Here is a 27316-nt window from a genome sequence, read left to right as displayed (position 1 = left end):
TCACCTCAGTTAAAATGGCTTTTATCTAAAAGACAGGCAATAACAACTGCTGGCAAGGATGTGGAGAAGAGGGAACCCTCATACACTGCTGGTGGGAATGTAAATCAGTACAACCACTATGAAGGACAGTTTGGAGGTTCCTGAAAAAATTAAAAATAGAACTTCCATATGATCCAGCAATTCTGCTTAGGGGTATATACCCCAAAGAAAGGAAATTAGTATACTAGCTATCTGCACTCTCATGTTTACTGCAGCACTATTCACAATAGCCAAGATTTGGAAGGAACCTAAGTGTCCATCAACAGATGAACAGATAAAGAAAATGGTGGTACATATACACAATGCAGTACTATTCAGCTATAAAAATATGAGATTCTGTCATTTGCAACAATATGGATGGAACTGGAGGTCATTATGTTAAGTGAAATGAGCCAGGCACAGAAAGACAAACTTTGCATGTTCTTATTTGTGGGAACTAAAAACTAAAAACAATTGAACTAATGGAGATAGAGAGTAGAATGGTGGTTACCATATGCTGGGAAGAGTAGTAGAGCGGAAGGGAGGTGGGGATGGTTAATGGGTACAAAAATATAATTAGATAGAATGAATAAGATCTAGTATTTAATAGCACAACAGGGTAACTAGAGTCAATAATAACTTATTGTACATTTAAAACTAAAAGTATAATTGGATTGTTTGTAACACAAAGAAAGAATGGATGTTTGAGGTGGTGGATACCCCATTTACACTGATGTGATTACTAAACATTGTATGCCTGTATCAAAATATTTCATGTACCCCATAAATATATACACCTACTATGTACCCACCAAAATTAAAAATTAAAATAAAAAAAGATGTCATTGTCATCACCTGGCTCAATAATGGCAATGTTTATAAAACAGCACAGATGATGGTATTGTATATAACCCCAGCACTCCACAATGGGGTTGAGATCATTAACTTGTTTCTGATTTAGCGTATTTGCTAAGAAGAGCTTCTCTTACTACTACTTCATTGTAAAAAAAAGGTGAACACCTTGGTTACTTCTATAAAAAGGCAAATAATGATGATGGCACTTCTTACAGCCCTGGGAATGACATTTAGAGAAGAACTATGTGCCTAATTCAATCTTTGCTCATTCATTAGCCTTGGCGACCTTTCCATAACATAAAGTGAGGTCATTCATGCTCTGCATAAAAGAGCCTCCAAGTCTACTGACCACAATTTCACCTTCTTTGGAAAGAGCATGAGCTCTGGATTCAGACAGACCTGAGTTCAAATGCCAGCCCTTCCACTTATTAGCTATTAGATTGGGATATTTAACTTATTCAAGCTTTAATTTCTTTATTTTCTAAATATTTATTTATCTTCTAAATATGGAAATACAATTTCCCAGACAGAATGAATGATTGAGGAATAAAGACAAAGGTGGCAGTCAACACTTATACACCCCTGACTGTGTACCAGGCACTATGTTAAAGGCTTTACATAGATGTACTATTACTATTTTCCTTTTACAGATGTGGAAATTAAGGCAAAGAGAGTTAAAGACTAAATAAAATAACATAGGTAAAAGGTCAGCCACAAAATTGCCAGACAAGATTATCTGCTCAATATATGCCAGCCCCCCCGGCCCCGCTCACCCCCATACCCCATACCCTGCCATCTGCTCCTCTGAAATGGCATGACCATGCAGGTTAAAAATAAAATTGGAAATCAGGGCTAAAGAATTAGATTCAAAGTGACTCACTCGGTGTCACTGAGAAATGACTCAGTCTCCTCAGCCACAAAAGTATACACCACCCCTAATGTAGGCACAGCTATATGATTATGTAGACACACGTGCAAGCACAAACAGACTGCAGGATAACAATGATCCCACAATCCTTTTAACTCCTCAGATCTCACTGCAAACACTATCTTGTGCCCTCTTTCCTTCATCAGAACCTGATGGAATACAACACAATCATGTGTTTCAGGGTATGGATGCCATTCAAGAGTGTCCCTACAGTATATATCCAGATATGCTGGGAATCATGAAAGGAAAAACTAGGAGCAAAACAAGAGGGGTGGGCAACAAATGGTAGGGGGATGAATGGTCTCTAAAAAGGGCTGGACATTGAAAATAATTTAAAGTGAGAATGAAAAAGTACAGTATAACCTTTGAATGACATGCTTCACAGTAGCCAGCTAATGTAATAAATGCTCACATACATACACACACACATACACCTGATTCATGGACTGCAGAGCTTTAAGACATGATTCTCAATCAAGTTTCAGAAGGAAATATTTTAAAATGCTTACCTCTTAAAATGTTCGGATTTGAAAACTTTGGTGATTAAAAAAGCAGTGTTTTTCTTTTTGTTTGTTTATTTTTGTTTTAATAGGTGCTACTGTACATAAGATTTGAGTAGGCACTCCACTCCTTAAACTATGGATGGAGGGTTTGAATCTTACTAGATGAACTCAAGAGTAGGAATTGCACTGTAATGTTGTTATCATTGCATCAAACTAAATCTATCTGCAAGTTCCCATTCCACCGGCTTCGTGGACAATTTAATTTCAGTTATTGCTGACACTCCCACTTTCCTGCCTCATGTATCCAGAACTGTGCAAAGGTCCTAGGAGTTTTGTAAAGAGCAGAACATTTAGAAAGAGCAGTCAGGTGTCCAAGACACACTGGTTACTACTGAGCTGCCCACCTTTCAAGTCTCCAGTGATTCCACACGTTCACTCAATCACTAACAAATATTAGTAAGCACCTACCACACTCCATGCTCTGTTCAAGGCACTGGAGATAAAACAAAGAAACAGGAAGATGAGACTGCCCCCTTCCCAGAGACTCCTAAGTTCCTTTCTCAGGCCAGGAACTCTCTGTGTGACTGACAGTTCAGGTGGCTCCCCTGCAGTCTCCCAGGCATGCAACATAGCCATTCCCTCCCTTTCCATTCCCCCTACCAGAAGCCTGGCTCCCTCTACAGGGCATCTCTCTTGCAATTTCTTCTTCCATACAAGCATCAGTCTTGGAAGCTCAGGCTTTCAGAAAAAAAAGGCAGGAACTTTAGTTAACACAAAACTCTGCTGAAACAAAGGAGTTCAAGGTACCTGACTACCATCTTGGAATGGAGAGTGAAGGGTGAGAATAGAGAGGAAGGGACAAATAACATCAACGAAAAGAAACAAACACACACACACACACACACACACACAAACACACCCTTGTTATACTTTCACATGTAAATGCCTGTTCCTAAAAAGCAATCAAGTTGTTTTCCTGTTGAACACCAAAACAAGACGTGATCTGAAAACGTTTTCATTTTTCCTGAATTAGACTTTGTACCAAACATTCACCACTGCCTTAAGGTATTATGCCTAGCACAGTACCTGACACATGACAGGCAAGATGGATGGATGGTTAAAATAACTCTTTTCTTTTTTATAAGCTGTACATCTAATATGGAGGATCTGAAAAAGCACTTGAGTATGGCCAGCCACTCTGAGACATCTTTAGAAGAGATGAGGATATACTTAGGGTATGCACACTAAAAGATAAAATACTGTAAATGTATTTCACAATGTAGAAGCATGGTGGCAAAATTCTTGCATCAAGATGTGAAAATATAATACAACTTTAAAAATGCAAAGTAGTTCATTTTTCCTAATCATTTTTATTTAATTTAGTATTTAGCAGAACAAGGATGAACATACAATTAAATATTGACTCTATCACATAGTAACCATATATCCTTGGGGAGCTATATTCAGTTTTTTCACCTTTAAAATGGAGAAAATCTTATCTATTATTACTTAGGGTTAAGATTGAAAAGAGATACTTTGGGAAAACACCATCATGGCCAGCCTACCCCAGACACTCAAGAAATGTTTGAAATACACACATGTAAGCATGCACATATGCACTTCTAGCTTGATCTTGAAGGTCTCATATATATATATATGTGTGTGTGTATATATATGTATGTATATATATGTATGTATGTATATGTATGTATACACACATATATACATGCATACATATATATATATATACTATATATAAATAGTCACAACATTTGAAGAAAAAAGTGAAAATTTTCCATCATCTTGTTAATCTTAACAAAAAGGAGAGGAATTATACTGATGTTCAGAATTCTGTATTCTTTTTTTTTTAATTATACTTTAAGTTCTGGGGTACATGTGCAGAACGTGCAGGTTTGTTACATAGGTATACACGTGCCATGGTGGTTTGCTGCACCTATCAACCCGTCATCTACATTAGGTATTTCTCCTAATGCTATCCCTCCTCTAGCCCCCCACCCCCCGACAGGACATGGATGACACTGGAAACCATCATTTTCAGCAAACTAACACAAGAACAGAAAACCAAACACCGCATGTTCTCACTTATAAGTGGGAGTTGAACAATGAGAACATATGGACACAGGGAGGGGAACATCACACACTGGGGCCAGTCGCAGAACTCCATATTCTTTACACACTTAACGATGGTCTCGCAAAGCTTTCCAGAAACGATAATCTAAGCTACAGTCCCTTAAAGTACCAAGCTACCTATTTTTATGCTTGGAGATTTCCATGAACTGGCTAAAAATTTCGATCATATTTGGAACCTAAATAGAGACTGAATGGCCCAAAATCTTTCCTTCCAGAAATGACCCAGCCTGTGTGGGCAGCTTCTCAAATCTAATTAGCACAAAACTTGTTTGCAACAAGAAAATAAATTAGTTCCAAAGCAATAGAAAATGCATAAACTTATAAAGGGCTGGATTTGCATTTTAAAGTCAAGTAACATTTCCTTTTTCTTCTGTTAAGTACTCATAAATTTATACTCCTCTACCTGTTCATAGAAAGATCACCCTTCTAAACTACAGAACAGTTAACATCAGATACACACGTCTTTACTAAGATCTGGTAATAAAAATTACTATAAAAATAGTACCTTACTAACCTTTAGTTCATTCTGATGCAAGTTCATTCTAGCCCCCACTCCTTAAATTTAAGTTCACCTCTAGCACTTGCATGGAAGCCAACTTTTATCATTTATTGAAAAAAAATTTGAACTCTTTGAGCACTGTACAACCTATCATCTTTCAAATCAAGTGAAGTAATTACATAATTTTATAACTTTCCATGAAAAGTTATTTTCTCTCCAATGTCTAATAATCTGATTTTTATTCTCTTGTGGAAATTTTTTCTCTTTTATTCATTAATGTAATATAAAGGGATTGTTCAACCGGAATAAATAGCTGATCCCCTTATATTCTCTGCTAAAAACATTTCTTTTAAAAGTAGCCTAATCTTCAGTTTCAGGATCCTTCACCTCAATGTGTTTAAATCCTGTACTGAGCACATTCATGAAGGAATTAAATGAAGGAACAAACAGCCATCATTGCAGTCTGGTCTCCATTATTATCATCTTCCCCTGTCATTTAATTTCTTCCACCCTCAGTTGTTCCATCTGTAAGGTGGAGGTAATAACTATCTCATAAGGTCAAGAGGACGGTATAATGATAAATGGGGATAACTAAAAAGCATAAAATTATTCATAAGAAAGTTAACAAGAAAATGCAATGTCCCTAGGCATGGGCAAGGACTTCATGACTAAAACATCAAAAGCAATGGCAACAAACGCCAAAATTGACAAATGGGATCTAATTAAACTAAAGAGCTTCTGCACAGCAAAAGAAACTACCATCAGAGTGAATAAGCAACCTACAGAATGGGACAAAATTTTCACAATCTACCCATCTGACAAAGGGCTAATATCCAGAATCTACAAAGAACTCAGATAAATTTACAAGAAAAAAAACAAACAACCCCATCAAAAAGTGGGCAAAGGATATGAACAGACACTTCTCAAAAGAAGACATTTATACAGCCAACAGACACATGAAAAAATGCTCATCATCACTGGCCATCAGAGAAATGCAAATCAAAACCACCATGAGATACCATCTAACACAAGTTAGAATGGCGATCATTAAAAAGCCAGGAAACAACAGATGCTGGAGAGGATGTGAAGAAATAGGAATGCTTTTACACTGTTGGTGGGAGTGTAAATTAGTTCAACAATTGTGGAAGACAGTGTAGTGATTCCTCAAGGAGGTAGAACTAGAAATACCATTTGACCCAGCAATCCCATTACTGAGCATATACCCAAAGGATTATAAATCATGCTACTATAAAGACACATGCACACGTATGTTTATTGCGGCACTATTCACAATAGCAAAGACTTGGAACCAACCCAAATGTCCATCAATGATAGACTGGATTTAAAAAATGTGGCACATATACACCATGGAATACTATGCAGCCATAAAAAAGGATGAGTTCATGTTCTTTGCAGGGGCATGGATGAAGCTGGAAACCATCACTCTCAGCAAATGATCACAAGGATAGAAAACCAAACACCGCATGTTCTCACTCATAGGTGGGAAATGAACAATGAGATGATTTGGACACAGGGCAGGGAACATCACACACCAGGGCCTGTCGTAGGGTGGGGGGCTGGGGGAGGGATAGCATTAGGAGACATATCTAATATAAATGACGAGTTGATGGGTGCAGCAAACCAACATGGCACATGTATACCTATGTATCAAACCTGTACGTTGTTCACACGTACCCTAGAACTTAAAGTATAATAATAAAAAAAGAAAAGAAAATGCAATGTCCCAAAACTAGAAGTAAGAAAAAATTGCAATGGTTGTTTATACAATGTTCTTCACATCAAAATCCCTCAAATCCAACATGAGATAAATTATTCGATATTAAGAGGAGCTTCATCATCTAGAATTAGAGCTCTGATAATGAAATATCAATGGTAATGACTTAGTATGAGACACCGCATCACCCATCCTCAATGCTAAATATTTAACTTGAGTAAATGTGTTGATTCTGATAAAATTCTGAGTGAAAGCTATAAAACAGAAATAAAATACTCGAAGAAGAGCAAACCTTGATTACTCAAAATGCTTAGAAAATGAGGGTTCACTTCTGGCATGCAGTCCATCATCAATGACTCCAGATACTCATTTTGGAGAAGAAGTTCCTGATTTCACCTTGCTCCACTAACATTTCCCTCTTATTACTTCCATTTGAGCAGAGGAATTGTATTTTGTTTTCTTAAAGGTTTTTCTTTGATTATGATTAATCAAGAAATCTAAAAATTTACAATACTCCAAGGTTTACTAAATATTATTACATGAAATACAATATACAGAATTGATCATTCCGTTATAGCTTTTTCAAAAATTCCACTATTATGTGATTTAATCTCACAAATTAAACCTCTTTCACTATCTCTTCTAGTTTCAAAATTATTTTGCACAGTATCTCTTTCAAGACATCATTTTGTTAATATTTTTTAAAGCTTGACATCTAAGGTTTCTAGTTTATTACCCCTCCCAAGTATTATAATAGCTTCTTCTCTCACGGCGAATTTAAAATTTGAGTGAAACTTACTTTCTTGTATTGCATTAAGAATCTCTGAAAAGTCCACATCACTCTTTGGCCCGTCAGGTAGTATTTGCATATCCAGCTGGTAGCCTTGCAAATCCACACCTCCTTCTAGAGAAATGAAAGATATTCATGGAGTTTGCACTGGTTATCAGAGAGTCTGTCATTAGGGTCCCAAGGAGAAGCTATGTCAAAATCCAAAGTGAATGGCTAGCTGGTTTGCCAATGATCCTCCTTCTTAGACAAAGGACTTAAGAAAAAAAAAAAAAGGAACATATACAAGCCATTTGCATTTTATGGGACCAAAAAGGTTCACTTGTATTTCCAATGCAAAATAAGGCAACTACTTTTTTATAAGGAAACACACTTCATAGTATTTACTGATAATTCCCTACGTAAAAAATATAACATAGCCTCTACCTAAGGATATTTAAAATTATTTTCAGCTTCCACATGGATTAAATGTGACATTAACACAAACACTTTATGATATCATCTTCTTCTTATAATAATTCATTCTTAAGGATGGATTTAATATTCTTGATATTACGGAAACAAGGTATTAATACTTAGGTCCCTCATAATTAGACCTCCCCGATTCATCATTTATTTTTCAACTGTATCCGAATTTGAAAATTTATTCTATGAAGTAATTAAGCCTCTTGTTCTAGGTTTGTCTGATGTATTTTTGGCATGTTCTAAAGAAAGAAAGTTTTTATGCTGCTCCATACACCTATAGAACATTTAAGGAAGTCAAAGAAACCAAGGTATCAAAAAGTAGCTTTATCACGAACAATAAACCTTCCAAACCTTCTAAAAGCTTCTTAAAGTAATCAGTAAGAACGTCTCCGATTTGAGGAGTCTGCCAGGGCTAAAAAGCCAATGCTAAAATAAACAGCCTGATGCATAAAATGGAACATGCCCTAGCTTCCAGTATTTTGTAGAAATTCTGTAGAAATCTCATAAGCTTAGGAGGTATACTCAGCCTTATACAAAATTTCGGTTACGTTCCTAAAGCTCAAGAATAAGATAACTCATAGCCTCACAGGAACGCTTATTCTAGGAGTAAAACACCTGAAGGTAACTTAATATTCTATTATATTTAATAGAAAATAAGCCTTGGGAGGGCAGGGACTTTGCCTGCATGCTATAACCCAAGCACTTAGAACAGGAGCTGGCATGAAGTAGATTCTCAACAAAGTAGATTCTCAGGCTGAATGAATGAATGAGGCTATGCAGTAATTATAAAACCAAAACAACAGAGCTAAGAGCAAAGCTACAAGCTCAGATTCTGGAGTCTGAGAGACCAACGTTGAAATTCTTATTAGATAATGCTGAACCTCTCTAAATTTTAGTTTCCTCCTTTGTGAAATAGGGATGATGATAACAGACTCACAGAGCAGCCACTAGGATTAAATGAGATAATGCACAAAAACCTTAGTTGTCACGTAGTCAGCACTCAGTAAATAGCAGCTACAGGTATTACTATGATCATCCATAATAATTTATTAAAGCAACACTGGCATTTATATAGAGACAGACTAGGTATTGAACAATGTGAATAACGAAAAGGAAGTCCTAAGTCCTTTCCTTGAGACCCCAGGTATGCATTTCGGTCACTGTCAAGAACTGCTATTTAACATTCCAGCCACAGCAGTGAACTTTTCAGATGCACTAATGCAGCTGCCTCATTGCAAAGTCTGAAGCTACTTATGAGAGTTTCTTAGACAGGACAGACAAAGACGCCTTCCTGCTGGTCCAGAATTAAAATGGGTTATTTGCTTTTTTCTTCCATGGCCAGTTACTTCTAATGGGTAAAGAAAAGTTCTGATGCTTTTCAATCTCAACTAAGGCTAGTCAGCTTTGTTCTATTTGATGGCCAAAGACCTCATAATTACAACAATGACAGAAAAATAACAAAAATATTCAATTATCAGCCTGGCTCTGGGCTATGTACTTTATGATATCATTTAGGCTTTAATCTTGAAAAGAAGGTGCGATGCAATGGAGTAATTTGCCCAAAGTCACACAGCTATTGAGGTGTAAATATGTAATCACAATCCATGCTCTTCACTAGTCTTTAAAATCACCCATATCCAAGCAGTCACAAACACAGGCTATTGGAGATAAGAGAACTGGATTTGCCAAATAAATCCAACATAACCCAGTAAAATGATCCTGTGTTCTAATACTTCAGATCAAGACAAAACACATTACATAAGCTAAAAAACAAGTGACTTCCTAAATAGACTAATAAATAGAAGCCCAATTTATTTATTTGTTATTTGTCATAAGCAGGGGCTCATAAACTCAGGTAGAAGTAGCTATGACTACTAGATAACTAGAATTTTTAATAACAAAGATTCCAAAAACCTTTAATAATTTTTTTAAATGTGAGAGGGCAGTATAGAAGTATAAGACACAAAAGAAGCACCATAAAGGAAGCATACAGGCCATTAAATTCTGTCTTCAAAGAATACTTAATGATGTGGGAAAATGCTCGTTTATAATGAAAAGGTGAGGAAAACCAATACAAGAATATAGACAGATAGATTAGATAGATAGATAGATAGATAGATAGATAGATAGATAGATAGATACATACATACACACATACATACATACATACATACACACACACACACACACACACACACACACACACAGAGACATGTCCCAAGTACAGTCATGTCTCACTTAAGGATGGGATACTTTCTGAGAAATGCATTGGTAGATATCATCATTGTGCAAAGATCATACAGTGTACTTACACAAACATAGTTGGTATAGCCTACCACACACCTAGGTTACATGGTGCAGCCTATTGCTCCTAAGCTACAAACCTGTACAGCATGTTACTGCACTGAATACTGTAGTAACTGTAATACAATGGTATTTGAATACCTAAACAAAGAAAGGGTACAGTAAAAATCGAGTATAAAAGATAAAAAATGGTCTCTCTGTATAGGGCATTTACCATGAATGGAGCTTGCAGGAATGAAAGTTGCTCTGAATGAGTCATTGAGTGGTGAGTGAATGTGAAGGCCTAAAATACTATTGCACATTGGTAGACTTTATAAACACTGTATACTTACGCCACATTAAATTTATTTAAAAATGTTTCTTTCTTCAATAATAAATTTATCTTATGGTAAGTTTTTACTTTGTAACCTTTTAGATTTTTTTTAACTTTTGACTGTTTTGTGATAACACTAAGCCTAAAACAAAAACACATTTTATAGCTCCATAAAAATATTTTCTTTCTTTATATCCATATTCTATAAGCATTTTTCTATGTTTTAAATTTAAAAACTTTTTTAAAACTTTTTTTGTAAAAAATGAGGATACAAACACACACATTAGCCTAGGCCTATACAAGGTCAGGATTATCAATGTCACTTATTCCACTGGAAGGTCTTAGGGGCAATAACATGAATGGAGCTCTCACCTCCCATGATATAAATGCTCTCTTCTGGAATACCTCCTAAAAGACCTGCCTGAGGCTATCTTAAAGTTAACTTTTTTTTTTAATCAGTAAAAGGAGTAAACTTTAAAACAACAATAAAAGGTAGAGTATATAAGCCAGTAACATAGTAGTTTAATTGTCAAGTATTATATACTGTAAATAACTGTATGTGCTATATTTTTATACAACTGGCAGCACAGTAGGTTTGTTTACACCGGCATCACCACAAACACGTGAGTAATGTATTGCACTATGACATTACAACACCTGCAACATCACTAGGCGATAGGAATTTTTCAGCTCCATTATAATCTTAATGGGACCACCATGGTTTATGTGGTCCATCACTGATGAAAAAGTCATCATGCGGTGCATGACTGCATATTAAAAAACATACCCATTTATATGACTAGAAAAATATAACAGGAAGAAAATACTCAAAATAGGTACAGAAGTTATCCCTCAGCTGTGAAATGATGGGTAGATTTTGTTTTATACTTTATCTTTTTTATGTTTTTCACAATAAGAATAAAAATATTTTTTTGAGAGAAAGTCTCACTTTGCCACCTAGGCTGGAGTGCAGTGGTGCGAACACAGCTTACTGCAACCTCAACCTCCTAGGCTCAAGCAATTCTCCCACCTCACCTCTCAAGTAGCCAAGGGCTACAGGTGCGCACCACCATGCCTGGCTAATTTGTGTATTTTGTATAGAGAAAGGGTATTTCCATGTTTCACAGGCTGATTTTAAACTCTTGACCACAAGTGATCTGCCTGCCTCAGCCTTCCAAAGTGCTGGGATTATAGGCGTGAGCCATTGCAACTGCCCTTAGCACAAAACACTTTTATAACTTTAAAGACATGTAAAAATTCAAGAGTGGGATTGTGGAGATTAATAATTATTTGGAGTTCAGGATTTAAGACTGAAAATAAAGACTGCAGATATTAAACCATAGATGTGAAATATCCAATTTAATATAACAGATTTTCTAAATTCATGTAATTTTTTAAAATGTATAAACCAAACAGCTTCAAAATGCAACATTCTCTTCATGCTAAACATTATGATCACACATAGAGTCCCCCAAATATAAGATATTTTTCTGTCTCTGCTCTAGAAGAAATACAGAATACTCTTTCATAGAGTATAATGTAATGGTCTGGAACTTCTGACAATAAGCCGTTCATTAAGTCTAACACTACAAAGGAGAGGGAGCTGTAAAACAAGGACTTTTGTAAGCTTTCCTAAATGGAGAGTGATCAGTGTACCAATGAATCTTCAAAGATGACAATCTCCACCTTTAACTTATAGTGCCCAAGTGAGAGAGATTAAATGACTTCAATGTAAAAAATGTACTATGCCTACTTCGTACTACTGATTTTATTTATTTATTGTTATTCATATAGCTTTTTGTTATAATTTCTAAAAACCTAAGAATCTGAGTTCTTTGCCATAGCCACAGATATCTTGGCCTTTGGATCAGAACACAAAGACTTGAAAAACTAGGCAAGATGGTAAAGATACTATAGATTCAAACTGAAGATTCTTTAAAATACAGCCCCACTGGGCATCAGTAATTAACATGCAATTAAGTACAATCCTAAGGAAACTAAACAAATAAATTAAAGAGGGAAGCTAAGAAGATCCCTAAATATGTGGAAACACATTGACCAATTAAAAAAAAATCAAGAATAGCTACAAAATCCATGTGATCTCCATTTTGTCTTTAAGTTTCCCCACATTTTATGGACAGAAGTTATACTCAATACTTAATTGTGATTCTGTAACTTTGGTAACAGCATTTACATTTAATAAAAAGTCTTTAGCTGGACAAGCAATATTTTTAAAATTCATTCTGTACCTAGCTTACAGCTAGGCTTTTTTTTTTTTTTAAGACAGTCACACTCTGTCACCCAGACTGGAGTTCAATGATGCAATCGCAGCTCACTGCAGCCTCAACTTCCAGGGCATCAAAGCACTTTTATACAAGAGAAACAGCAACAAAAAAATGAGTTTCAAACATAAGTTTCTTGATTAGCAAATATGTCAATGCCTTCCCATCCATTCTTTGTCCATAGAAATCCCTTCTTGCTTTCAAGGCCCACCTAGAATTCTCTGCTTCAGGAAGCATTTCTTGATCCTGATAAGTAAAAACCATTTTTCTATCCACTGAACTCACATAGCTCTTTATATTTTGTCTTTTCTATAGTATATGTTTTCTATGAAAAATGAGTCAGAGTACCTAGCACAGTATGAAGCAGACAAAGAAAATGTTTAAGTTCCTAGTTTTTCCATATCTAGATTTCTTCCTCATTGAGAGCACCTTCAACTAGACAGTAACACATTGAAGCCTGGGATCAAACTGTATCCCCCTTTTATCTCCTATAAAACCTAGAACAAGGCCTTGAACATATTAGATGCTCAGTTAATGCTCTTTCACTGCAATTTCACATTATGAATAACAATAATGAATATAAACTAAGAAGACGCTCTGATTTTTTTTTAGTCTACAATTTAAAGCATCTTGATAGGTTATCAGTAGATTACTGTGAAAGACATATTATAGATCATAACTTTTTGATTTTTAGTAAAATCTTGTTAAATTTTATCAAATAATAAACAAAATATCAAAGTACCAAAGGGCTTACAATAAAAATCAATAGCTACCCTTTTTGCAATCTCTGTCCTCTTCCTCAGTGGAAAAAGGACTTTTAAGAGTCTCTGTTGGATCCTTCTATGTGTGTGTCCCATTGTTTCATGATTTTCCAATTTTATATACTATATATGGTTTTTCTGCTGTGACACATAACAATGTAAAAGTTACATTACTACCACTTTCCACTTGCCCTCCACTCACTCACCAAATCACTATTCTTAGTAATTTCATTAGATTGCCTTAGTTTAGTTACTTTAAATAAATCACTTAAAATTCCTTTCCTTGTTCAATCAATTATAGACATATGTCATATATGTAAATTAACACAAGTGATTGAAAAAGGAGATACTGGCACTAAACTAACCTGGATTTGAATGCTACTTTTATGTGACCTTGACTCATTAAATAATAATAAGCCTTATCTTTCTCATTGAAAAAATGGGAAACTAAAATTTTTTGGAGGCTGTAGTACAAATTATAGACATTATACATAAATAATTTGGCCCATCATGTTAGATCTAGGTGCTTCACTACAAATTTTATATATTCATTCTCTGCAAAATGAGGGCCTACTCCAGGTTTGGGGCCTAGGCTAAGTAAAAACAATTCCACTTTAAAAATCTTGTAACCTGGGACTTGGAATAGTTACTTCATATTGAAACCAAAATAAAGGAAAGCCTGACAAATCAGCTCTTACCCTCCCCATGTCACAGAAAAGATGGGGAGTGTGTAAAACAGACTTAAGAGGACAAATGATATTTTCTATGATAGCCTCATAATAACTGTTGCTAGAGCTGAGCTTCTGTCTACATTCTATTTATATTCTACAAATATTTTTATTTGGTAGTTCCTGTCCTGAGAGGTATACTTAATACAAATTCTCAAACACAGCATTTTTTATAGAATAGGTAGCAGTGATATTTCAAAACTTGAGCTACATATCTAAAATAAATCCTCACATGTAATATTTTTGGACTTAAGAGGCACCAAAGAACCCATTTTCTAAACTGGGAGTTTTGTATTGAACTCCCCATAGGTGAATTCTGTGTTCCTAAGACAGTACTGAGATGGAGAATGGTGTTAAGAAAGAAGGGAAGGCTGGGTGTGGTGGCTCACACCTGTAACCCCAGAGCTGCAGGAGGCTGAGCCAGGAGGACTGCTTGAGACCAGAAGTTCAAGACCTACCTGAGCAATATAGCAAGACCTCCATCTCTAAAAAAAAATATAAAATAAAATTAGCTGGGCATATTGGTGCATACCTGTAATCACGTCTACTTGGGAGACTAAAGCGGAAGGATCACTTGAGCCCAGGAGTTTGAGGCTGAAGTGAGCTATGATCATGCCACTGCACTCCAGCCTGGGCAACAGAGTCCTTGTATCTTAAAAAAATAAAAATAAAAAAGAAGGGAGGGAGGTCCATTCTGTCTTTACAGACTTTCCTGGCATCAGCCAGTGTTCAAGAAAAGTCTCTGAAGAAGAGAGAAAGGAAATGAATTCAGCTCTTCTGGAGAATATGAAATTGGAAACCATAGATTTACATGTAGGAAATGCTACTGGTTCTGAAAAAAAAAGTTCCATCTTGTTTTTTTAACATTATTTGTAGCACTTACCAAAATCCTTTTTTTGTGTGTGGCATAAACTAAAAAAGCTTCACAATAGAAGATGCTTCATACGTGCAAAAAATATTCATGTCATTTTATTAGTATTGTGTAAAACCATAAATCTTATGATGTTGTAAGTTCATTCTTTTACAGAAGAAAGCTTGGCTCATATTAGCAGGAATAAACATATTGATTCACTCACACTAGTCACTATAAGGCTAAAGCTATTCCCTCAAATGATTAATGCTGAGTAGTCCTAATGGCCAAGTTCTTTACTGGGTCCTGATGGGAGAACCACATTTGGCTAACAGCAGGCAGATATTTCTCAGGTCTAAAATGGAAATAATAATTCTACTGCATCGGCCAGTAATGGCTCTCCTTCAGCAGAATTGCTTCTATGTTTTCCAGGATTGGTAAGATCATGATCTCCTAAGTTATAATGCATCCCTGCACTAAAAGTTCCCTAGAGGGCCTGGAAGTCAGAATTGCAAAGCTTCAAATAGCAAGAAGGATTTGTGAATCACATAGGCAGAATTCTGTGGTGTCTTCCAATCTCCTAGATGCTGAGGTCTGTTGTGATGACGAGGGCTCTTGCAGATGAGGAGAAGAGACAAACTCAGGATTAGGAGGCGTTACAGAACAGAAACTGTGCAATTTTCAGCCTCACTAAATGTTGTTTACCCTTTTGTCTTGAATAAGTCTTTATACATGAAGGGCTTGAGATAAATATGAGAAGGAATATTGCCCTTGCGAAATGACAATCCTCAAAAAAGCTAGGACTCTGCCCCTCTTGTGCATCGGCCTGTCAGCTCAAACTCAGACAATCAAGCAAAATAAAAGCTCACTATTAACTGACTATCCACCATGGCTAAGGGCTTAGACTTTTAAATCTCAGCTCTACTAGTTATAGTTGTATAATCCTGAGCTAAATGGTTAAAGCATCCCGCCCTATCTTCAGCGGATACATTCCAAGACCCCCAGTGGATATCTGAAACTGTGGATAGTACTGAACCCTATATATATGCTTTTTTTCCTATACATACATACCTATGATAAAACTTAATTTCTAAATTAGGAACAATAAGAGATTGATAACAATAACTAATAACAAAATAGAACAATTATAACAATAATGATAGAGCAATTTCTGTCTTTCTCTCAGAATTCTTATTGTAACTGAAACGATGAAAAACAAAGCTATGGATAAGGGGCACATTGCTGTACTTAAATCTCTTCAAGCTTCTAAAATATAAAATTATTTTAAATAGCCTCAGGCAGAAGAAGCAGTTTTAAATTCCACAAAACGCAATGCTCTTTTCCAGAAATTAACCATTTGCTTTTCTTTGTGGCTGCCTTTTTATGGCTCTTCTTCATTCACTTTCTGTGCTCAAAAGGTTGTAAAATGATTTTTCAGAAAATTCCCTCTAAATGCATCCTATAGATCAAAATGTGTGTGTATATGTCCCTCAGTAAAATGAAAAGCAAATGCAAATAAGAGAAGAATGTGGTATATATTTTTAGAAAAAAAATAATGTTGTTACTCAGCAAATGATAGCAAGGAACACAGATACCAATGCCCACATTTGCCAAGGACCAAAATAGCTTGTTTTCCTAAGCACCCCCACCTATTGACTAAACTCACATCACACATCTAAAAAAACCCACTTAAAGAGGAAGAGATTCAAATGAAGGATAATTACAGTGTTATTTCTAAACCACAGCACTAACTGTTCTGAAAGGCACCACATTCACCTTCAATGCAATGAGAAATAAAACAGAAGTCCAAAGTAGCCCTTGTCGCTTTTTCCATACAATTTTATCTTCCAGCCACCCCAAAAATCCATTCACAAATAGGAAGACTGATTATCTCATCCACGCTTCAGTTCTGTTCAAGAGAACAGCCAGGTTCCTTAGATCCTATAAGCAAACCTCAGCCACACTTCTCAATAAAGTGTCTATTTTCAGAAAAGGGGATAGAAAGCCCCCAAAATTTCACTCTTAACTAATGCTCATCTTCAAGATAAAAAGTTGACACCGTGGAAAAAACACCCATAATAAGTTTTGTTTTTTTGTTTTTTTTTTGAGACGGAGTCTCGCTCTGTCACCCAGGCTGGAGTGCAGTGGCACAATCTCAGCTCACTGCCACCTCTGTCTCCCGGATTCAAGCGATTCTCCTGCTTCAGCTTTTTTTTTTTTTTCTTTTTTCTTTTTTTTTTTTTTTTTGACAGAGTCCTGCTCTGTTACCTGGGCTGGAGTGCAGTGGCATGATCTTGGCTCACTGCAACCTCTACCTCCCAGGTTCAAGCGATTCTCCTGCCTCAGCCTCCCTAGTAGCTGGGATTACAAGCCTGCACTACAATGTCTGGTTAATTTATGTATTTTTAGTAGAGACGGATTTCCCCATGTTGGCCAGGCTGGTCTCGAACTCCTGACCTCAGGTGATCCGCCCACCTCAGCCTCCCAAAGTGCTAGGATTACGTATATGAGCCACCGCGCCCGGCCACATAAGAAATTAAATACCTGGGTTTTAGTTGGGGTCTGTCAATTGCTAATTTTGTACTTTTGAGCTAGTAACTTCACTTCCTATGCCATAGTAAAATAGGCATAATTCCACCTCACAGACTGCTATGAGGACTAAATGAAATGCAGGAGAAAAATTTGTGAAAGCCCTTTGGAAACAACAGAATATCAAGTAAATGTAGGGTTGCAGTATTATGATCGTTATTCTAAAGATTGGTCATATATTTATCTTTTCCTTATTTTTGTTTCCCTAAAGCATAAGTTTATCCTGACTCTTGGCAGAACTAGGAACAAGTCTTTCTTGACTGTCCTTCTTCTTTTAAAAGTCTCTCCTTAATAATCCTCTCCTCTCCCTCTCCCCACATCTTCTGGTACTGCTCTTTAAAGGGAGAAACAGAAGACAGTCTGTTCCCTAATTTGAGACCAGGCCTTGACATTGGTTCCAGAAAGAAATCTTTGAAACTCAGGGAAATAGGAATGAATTTTATTATATCAGAACCCAAAAAATGGAGGATGAAAAACAAAAGTCCAGAGCATAGTAGACCAGAAAGAGAAGCTACAAAGTGGACATCACTTACACTGAAGGAAATAATAAACTTTGAAGACGATTACACAAGCAATCAACAGAACCTAACTGGTCCCTTCTTTAGTATGGTTTTCTTACGCTAAGGTTTGAGCTACTGCAGGGCTTTTAATTTAAATTTTCTAAGGCTTTTTTATGATAATTTGCTAGAAATGTTTCTGCCAAGTTGTGTGAAGAAGAAAGTAATAGCACATTAAATAAGAGAATAAGAATACCTGAGCTAGAATCTTGCCTTCACCATTTACTGGCTGTATAACCTTAGGCAAGGTACTTACCCTTCTTCATGCCTTAGTTTCCCCACCCATCAAATAAGGAAAATAGCATGAGAATATTATGGGAATTAAATGAGATAATGAATGAAAACAGTTGAACAGTTTTTGAGGTTGGGAATATGGTAGAGGGCTTAATATATTGTAGCTATAATTTTATTATTATCAAACTATGCATTTAATGCCTAAGTATACAGACAGTACTAATCATTCTAGCTGTTTGGAAACAAGAAAATCCTAATGTTTCTCTCCTGGAAAATCAATTATGTCCTAGCATTTAAATACTAGATAGATTCTTAGGGAACAATAATCATGCATAAATGTGGAAAGGGCCATAGGTTTTAAAAAGTGAGATAAAAGAACCTGTATTAGAAATTACTTGGGAATAACACATATCGGCAAAACATTATTTTACAAATTCTAAATGAGACTAAAGGACATATTCTGTGATTAATGACACTTCTCTAGGATTGTATGATGGGTCTAACAGATAAGGAAAAAGCAATAGAAGAAGTATTTTAGATTTCAGAAAGCTTCCAATTCTATTTTATATGGCATAGTCATTAGCTGGGATAATTTGATCTATATCCACTAAGCTTTATAGTTTCAAACTCAAAAAAATCAAAATCAGTGCTTCAGTTTACTATGCTCTTGAGTCTTAAATTATAGTCCCAAACCTAGTACCATTTACCACTTATATTTTTGGTCCATAAAGGAAGCAGAAAATAATATTCATTAATTATGAGTGTCTAAAGGATAAGGTCAAAATGAAATTGATAAACAGGAGAAAGAATTGAAACAATCAGAAGGAAAGAGAAACCATACAAATACAAGATGAAGATGAATGGTTTCTGTATTTATACAGCATAATGAGAGACCATCTTATTGGTATTCTAGCACAAGTTAACTGGGAAACTGCTAAATGAAGTGGTAACTGAGATAACAAGGATTCTGAGGCATAGGTACTTTCAGGGTTCTGAATTTTGCTTATCATGTTGGTGACAAGAAAAATGATTTCTTTATTTATCAACCATTTATTACTGAACACCAAGTATGTGCCAAAAATCAAACTGGACATTCTACACCAATTATTTAATTGCCATAACAAGGCTATGTAGGATTGCCAGACATAATACATTACAATACAGGATGTCCTGCTAAATCTGAATTTCAAACGATATAATTTTTTATTATGTGTGTCGTATGCAATATTTAGGAATTTTCAAATATTTGAATTTCAAATATTTGAATTAGGAATATTCAAATATTCAAAAATTCAAACAAGTATTTCAAAAATACTTGTTTATCTGAAATTTAAATTTAATTGGGAACATTGTATTTAATTTGGCAGCCCTAATACTATAAGGTAGGTATTAATTTCCTCATTTTACTGATGTAGAAACTAAGATTCAGAGAAATTAAGTAATTTGTCTAAGGCTGTAATAGCCATCAGGTGACATATCTAGCTTTTAAACACCTAACGATAAAGCTTGCTTTCAGAACCAGTGTAATGCACCGTTCCTATCATTATGCTCTTTCCTGCATCTGAATGGTCATGCCTCTTCCTTCTGTTGAAATCCTAGTTGACCTTCAAAGTCAAATTGGTAGACCATATGTGTTTTGAGTCTTTCTAAATTCTCTTCAGCATAATAAGGTTATGCTGCCATAACCTTATTTATTTCTGTGTTCCAGCCCTTAATACAGTTTGACTTCTATCACAGCAGCTTAAGCACATGTCCCTGTAGTGGGCATTCTTCCACATAAAGTTGTTTCCTAACATCACCTCTATTTCCTTTTGGGGAAGTCCTTCTCCCTCGCTGTGTGTAGTCAAGGTAGCAGAAGAAATCAAGGAGTCCTACCCTCCCACTATGAAGGCTGAAGAGAGAGGTCTTCTGTCCTATCATTTGTCTCAGCACTGTCTGTCCAACCAAAGGAAAGGTGCATAGCCAATAGAACTGTCCTCCTAAATCTTCAAAACGTGAGCCAAATGATGCAAAACTAGAAAAACCGGTAAGAATTCAATCATTCCAGATAGTCAAATAGAAGATATTCTATTCTAATCAAATAGCTATTCTTGATTTCTCGATTCCTTTTCCAAGGCTGGCTCTTTAGGTTTTCCATCCACATTCTTCAAATTTAAATTCCTTCTTTGTTTGGACTAAATGATTAGTTTCTCTTGTTGGTAACAAAGAACCCTGACTGATTGTCTCTCTTGGACATGACTGAGTGCCTTAAGACCCATGTTTAATAGAGTTCTGCACCATTTCAAAATACTCCAAGGAGGGCAAATTCCCAATAAATCCTTGTTAGTAAATAGTAGGCCCTCATAAAAGTTTGTAAACTCAAAGGAGGATAAACATACTGAAATTGTTCAGGCAGATGGAACAGAAAATCTACAAGACTCCCAAATTCTCTTTTTGTTCTTAGTAACCAATCCGAGTGGGCCTTAGAGAACACTTCGGGAACAGGGATTATTAACTTTGTAAAAAATAGATGGATGACTTAATAGGCCTCAATATGACTAAATTGTCCAAGCTGCTACTAAGATCTATGACTCACTGCACTTAAGAAACTCAGTTTGAGAGCTCTTCCATAATTTCCCAACAGAGAACTATGATGCATTTGTCCAAGTACACTAAAAATAAAGAGAATGGAACTGAAATCATATTCTACCTTGCCAGAATAATATGAGTTTTAAAAATACTTTTTTTAAATAACAAGTTTCTAATTGTAACTTAATATATTTTTTTCTTAATTATAATTCTAGGCTAGAGGATTGGCTTTATTTATATTTTCAACCAATACTCGACATATGTAGGGTTTAAGGATCTATGATAAAATGATGGGTAGATAAGTAAAGTGATGTTTTTTTGTTTTGTTTTGTTTTTGTTTTTTTGAGACAGAGTTTTGCTCGTTGCCCAGGCTGCAGTGCAGCGGCGCAATCTTGGCACACCGCAACCTCCGCCTCCCGAGTTCAAGTGATTCTCCTGCCTCAGCCTCCTGAGTAGCTGGGATTACAGGCATGCACCACCACGTCCGGCTAATTTTGTATTTTTAGTAGAGAGAGGGTTTCTCCACCTGGTCTTGAACTCCTGACCTCAGCTGATCCACCCGCCTCGGCCTCCCAAAGTGCTGGGATTACAGGCGTGAGCCACCGTACTCATCCAAGTGATGTGTTTTTAAGGTGAGGGAAGAGACTTGAAATATTAACTCACAATGTGGGCTGAATTAGCCCATGTTGATAAAACACCATTAGGAATATCTTAATAACATTCATTTAATTGTATTATAGTAATATCAACACAGGATATCAATTAAAGGAAAGGACAGACTGAATCTACACTGCCTGCGTTTGACTTTAATGGAATACTCAATTCTGGGCACTGCATTTTCAAAGAGATAGCAATGAAATAAGAATGTTTCTAAGAGTGGAGAGGGTACAAAGGTAAAGAAGTTGAGTATCATGTCATTCAAGGAAGCACTGAAGACACTAGGAAATGTTTCACCTGGAAAATAGCTAGGGATGAGTTTCTTAAACAACTGAAGGATTGTCATATGAAAGAAGAGTTAAGATTTACGCCATATAACTTCAGAATGCTAACCTATATCTGCTGAGTAGAACAGATTTTGACAAACAACATAAAATCATTTATTAAGAACCTACTAGGGACAACGCATGATGTTAGGAGTGACGGAAGATACAAAGATGAATTGAGGAGAGTTCCTGCCTTCTGGGAGAACTATAAGACCATAGAAACAGATGGACTTTGATAAGGCTTCTAAGTTCTGTGGAAGCACGGGGAAGTAGGGGAATAATTCTGACTATAAGATCTAGAAAGCTTCTTGGAGGAAGCGGAATTTGAGTTACATTTTGAGGAATGAGAAGGGCTAGTAGACATTTATTAGGGGAAGGGATATTCCAAGATGAGAGAGGAGCTTGAGCAATGGCAAAGAAAATGGAAGAGTAAAAGCCTGCTTGAGAAATACTAAAAAGCCTGTGGATGCCTGAAGCTGAATAACATGGATAATGACAGTGTAAAATGAGATAAGCCTGGAAAAGTAGGGAGAGGCTAAATTGGAGAGGACTTGAAAAGGTGGGCTCACAAGGCTGCACTTTCTTCGGGATAGCCATAACAATTTTAAGAAGAGGAAGGCTGATGCTAATTATCCTCTCTGGAGGAGAACCTTGGTGTCTGAGAGAACCACTGAAGACAATTGTCCAACATCTAAAACCTTCCACTGGGCTCTCCAGAATTCTCTGAATGTCGTCAATCTCTTCTCAGATTGCCCCATTCACCTTGCTCTAAGGAAAACCTGGATCTTCCCAGTGGTCATGCTTCCCTGTGGCTCTTTCACTTAGAACTGTTTTTCTCCAATAGCCCTGGCACCAACGCATCTGAAAGAGGAGTAGATACCTTTCTTGAGTCTCAAATCCACCTTCAGACCATTCTTCTTCCCTCTTCCCCAAACACCTTCAGCCTTGAATCTCAAGTTGTTATACTACATCATCTTCTACCCTTTATCTTTGTACTCTCCTGCTACCTGCCAGATCATGTTCCCTTATTTCTCAGTAAAGTTAATGCCTGGCTTATCATTCTTCCCAAAGCTACTCAATTCTTGACTCAATCATTTTCACATCTTGGCCTCTCAGTCCCTAGGAATTTTTTCATTCAATGATCTTGCCTTCTACCCTTTATAGTCCCTTGTTTTGTACCTTGGCCTAAACCTTGTCATTACCAGTAACAGCATCTTGTGTTGATATTACTATAATAAAATTAAATAAATGTTATTAAGATATGTGCCACAATATTAGTGCCACACATTCCATTCTCTTACCACCTCTCTTATCCTTCCAGATCCTCCTTCTATTACCCTAACCCCCACAATTTTTTGAACCCTCTGGGAATTTCAACCGATTGATCTTACCAACTTTTCACTGTACCTCCTTCCCTTGATGTCTTGTACCCTCTTTACCAAATCACAAAATGAATCACTATCATCACTCCCTTCCATGCACTTTTGATTCCCTTTCTCTCTTTCCTACTTCCTTTGCAAAACCACACTGCTGTTCAAATCCAACTCACCACCAACTGTATGTCTTTACTCATGTAGCTACACAAAATTAAAAACTACACAATGATGATAACTAGTCCTACTTTAGTTTCATGACTATGAATCTCAAATCCCTTTTAATGTGAGTTGGCAAACATATTTCCCCTCTCCATATCTTTCTTTCTCTCTCTCTTTCTCCCTGTGGCTCCATTCTCATTCTCAGAGATGACCTTGCTTCTCACATTAAAGATAAAGCTGACAACATAGGAAAAGAACTTATTAGACCCTCAGCACACCTGCCATTATATACATACGCCTCCTTCCCACCAGTTATCACAGATAAACTATCCATGGTCCTATTGTGCATAGCTCTCATCCTCTCACTGATGCCCACATCACAAATTCTCCCCTCTCTTGAACACCATAAATTATCTGCTGGAGAGCTGCTATTTTTAAAAGAAACTCTTGACCTTACTTCTCCTCCAGCTGCTGCCCTATTTCTTCACTACACTTCATAGCAAAACTGCTCAAAAAAGTTGCCCATATTCAGAGCATCTAATTTATATCCTCTCATCTCCCTTAAATCCACTTCAATCAGGGTTTCATCCCCACCACTCCACTAAAACGGCTCTTATCAAAATCACCATTGACCTCCACTTTACTAAAATCGACTAATTCTCAGTCCTCATCTTATTTGACTTTCAATAACATTTAGCCTAGAAAACCATTCTTCTCTTCTTGATAAACTTTTGTAATTTCTGAGATGTGGCACTTCTGGGTTTTCTCCATCTTTGCTGGTGCTTCTTTCCTGGCCTTCTTGCTCGTGGTTCATGTCCTCTTTGACCCTTTATTATTGGAGTGTCCCAGATCTCAGCCCTTGATGCTCTCCCTTCCCCATTTATACTTCTTCCCTTGGTCATCTCTTGCAATCTCATTTCTTTAAATAGCACTTATATGTCAACAACTATTAGTTTTATATCTCTTTCACAGACCAATCATCTTTCAAACTCCAGACATGGAGCTCAAACTACCACCCACAAGATCTTGCCAGCTCTCAATATTATCACATCTATAATCAAACTTCTGAACTCAGCCCCACCTTTGCCCTCAAACCCACCAAATCTGCTTCTCTTGCAGCCTTCTCCATCTCAGCTGATTTCACTCAGGCCAAAAAAACTTTTCAGTCATCCTTTGCTCTTCTTTCTCTTTTACCCTACATCCAATCCATTAGGATATTTTGTTGGCCCAGCTTTAAAATATATCCAGACTCTAAATTCTCACCATTACTTCTGCTGTTCCTAGTCAGAGCTACCATCATTTCTCCACTGGATCATTCTGGAGGCCTCCTATCTGACCTTTCTCCTTTTATCCTCTCCTCCTATAATCTATTCTCCCCATAGTCTATATTACATCCTGTTAAAATATAAATCAAATTATGGAATTCTTCTGCTCAAAACCCTGTAAGAGCTTCCTTTCACATAGGGCTCAAAGTCCTTACAATGGCCTATAAGGTCCTGCCCGATCTAGTCCCTACAACCTCACTGAGTTGATTCCCCACCTCACTCACTCCACTCCAAGTTGAGGAGCCTCCATACTATTCTTCAAATTGCCAGACCCACTTTTACCCTACAACCTGTCCACTAACTGTCCCTCTGCTGGAATGAAGTTGCTCAGACATCCACGTGGCTGTCTCAGAAACTTCTAGTCAGTGATTACACATCTTCGTGACTCAGCCTACCCTGATCACCATGTTTAATATTGCAACATGCTACCCTCTTCCCCTACTTTTTCTTTTATCCATAATACTTATCCTTTCCCTAAACACTATATGTTATATATAGCTTACATATAACTATAATATAGATTACACAGTTGGTCTCTTTAATATATTTATTTATTATCTCTTGCAGCTACTACGTAAACTCCCCAAGGGCAGGGACTTTTGTCTGCTTTGTTTACTGATGTATATCAGGTACTTGTTGAAAGAAAGGCAGGCAGAAAAATTCAGAAGCTATTGTAGTAGTCTAAAACACAGCTAATGAAGGTTTTGTTCGGTCCTACCCTACAAATATTTATTGGGAGTACAAAGATAAATAATCCAGAATCCCTGCCCTTAAAGACCTTTCAGTGGACGGATAGACAAGTAATTTCAACATGTTCAAAGATAACAGAGCAAAACCAGGGTATCCTGGGAAGAAAGAACAGCAGGAGCAAAGGTTGGGAGGCATGAAACAGCATCACATATTTAGAGAAGTGAAAGCACATTGATATACTCAGATGCGATGGTCTATTTGATGAACCAACTTGGCCAGGCTACAGTCTCCAGTTATTCAATGAACACTAATCTAGTGCTGCAATGAAGGTGTTTTGTAGATGCAATTAAAGTTCATAGTCAGTTGACTTTATGTAAAGGAGATTCTCCTTGATAATCTAGGTCAGTTGAAAAGCCTTAAAAGCAGAGCTGAAGCTTTTAAGAGCTGTGCCCAAGAGTTCCAGCCTGCCCTTGCAGATAGCCTGACCTATGAATTCAGACTTGCCTAGCCATCTCCCACAATGAAAGCCAATTCTTTGTAATTAGTCTCTAGTACATACTTTCTACTGGTTTTGCTTTTCTGATTGAACCTTGATTGATGCACTATAGTAATAAAGCTTAAGGAAGAAGAGGGCAAAAAATGAAGGGTGAAAGCAGTAGGGGCCAGATCACAAAAGGCATTTGTTTTTAACATGCTAAGAAGTTTGAACTGGACCCTGTAATTGGTAGAACAAGCACAGTAACTGATTAGGGGTACAGATGAATCATTCTGGATTTGGTACGTACTGGGAAAGGAGGCAAGAGGAGGAAAGAGATGCTGGAGTGGGAGAAACCAGGAAAGTTACATGCGAGAGAAATAAGAGAAGAACCCTAAGATTGTCATGGAAGCCAAGGGAACAGTGTTTGGGAAACAAGTGGGTTGTCCACCTTGGTCTGGTGCATCAGGAAAGTCTGGCAAGCATCCACTACATTGTGATAAAAGGAGGTCACTGAGGGCCTCAAAAACAGCCAGAATGGAATGGAGGAGCTAGAAACCAGATTGTGTTGGTTACTCTCGACAGAACAGAGCAATCAAAAGTAAATTATTATTTTCAGAAGTTTGGCTTGGAAGGGAGGAGGAAAAAGTGGCAGAAGAGGGAAAAGGGTACAGTGTTAAATGATCAGAATGGTAGAAGCTTGAGCCTTTTCATAGACTGAAGGTAAACAGCTAGCAGTGTGGAAGGGTGAAAGAGATGAAAACAAGAGGACACATTCTCCTGAGGAAGCTTCAGAAGAGGTGAAAGGTGACCATGGCTAAAGGACATGGGTAAGAGCTTGGTCAAAGACAGTGGGAGGCCCCTCATCTTCTGAAAACTGGAGGAAAGTGGGGAATGATGCATAAAGAGCAATACATTTGAAGAGAGAGGATAAGGGACCTCCAGTAATTCATGCCCAACGGCCCTGGTGTTTCTTGATGGGTTAGGAAGCAAGGTTACATGCTAAGAGAGAGAAGGTGGTGTGACATGAGTAGAGATGGAGGCTGGCTTCAGTAGCAGCTGTGTGGTCATCCACTAGGACATTACAGAGAGGAATCAGGATTGGGTGAGAGTTATTCTCAATGACTTATGAATTCTTTCGCAATTTGATGTTTCTATAAAGTCACTTTGCAGGAACATTG

At 36.9% G+C, this 27316-nt stretch overlaps 1 protein-coding gene across 15 annotated transcripts in view; it reads right to left on the bottom strand.

Annotated features, from left to right (window-relative positions):
• Positions 1-27316, bottom strand: part of ANO4 (anoctamin 4) — a 411381-nt gene that overhangs the window by 198823 nt on the left and 185242 nt on the right. For 10 of the 15 annotated variants that reach the window (XM_011537912.3, XM_011537911.3, XM_047428302.1 and 7 more), the window contains one exon: positions 7489-7593. The exons of the other annotated variants lie outside the window; for them this stretch is intronic. In XM_011537912.3, coding sequence (XP_011536214.2) covers positions 7489-7593 — 105 coding nt within the window. The remainder of the gene's footprint in view (positions 1-7488; positions 7594-27316) is intronic. 15 annotated transcript variants of the gene reach the window in all.

This window comes from Homo sapiens, chromosome 12 (genome assembly GCF_000001405.40).
Source record: "Homo sapiens chromosome 12, GRCh38.p14 Primary Assembly".
Taxonomy (NCBI): Eukaryota; Metazoa; Chordata; class Mammalia; order Primates; family Hominidae; genus Homo; species Homo sapiens.
This window is presented reverse-complemented; position numbering and strand designations above follow the sequence as displayed.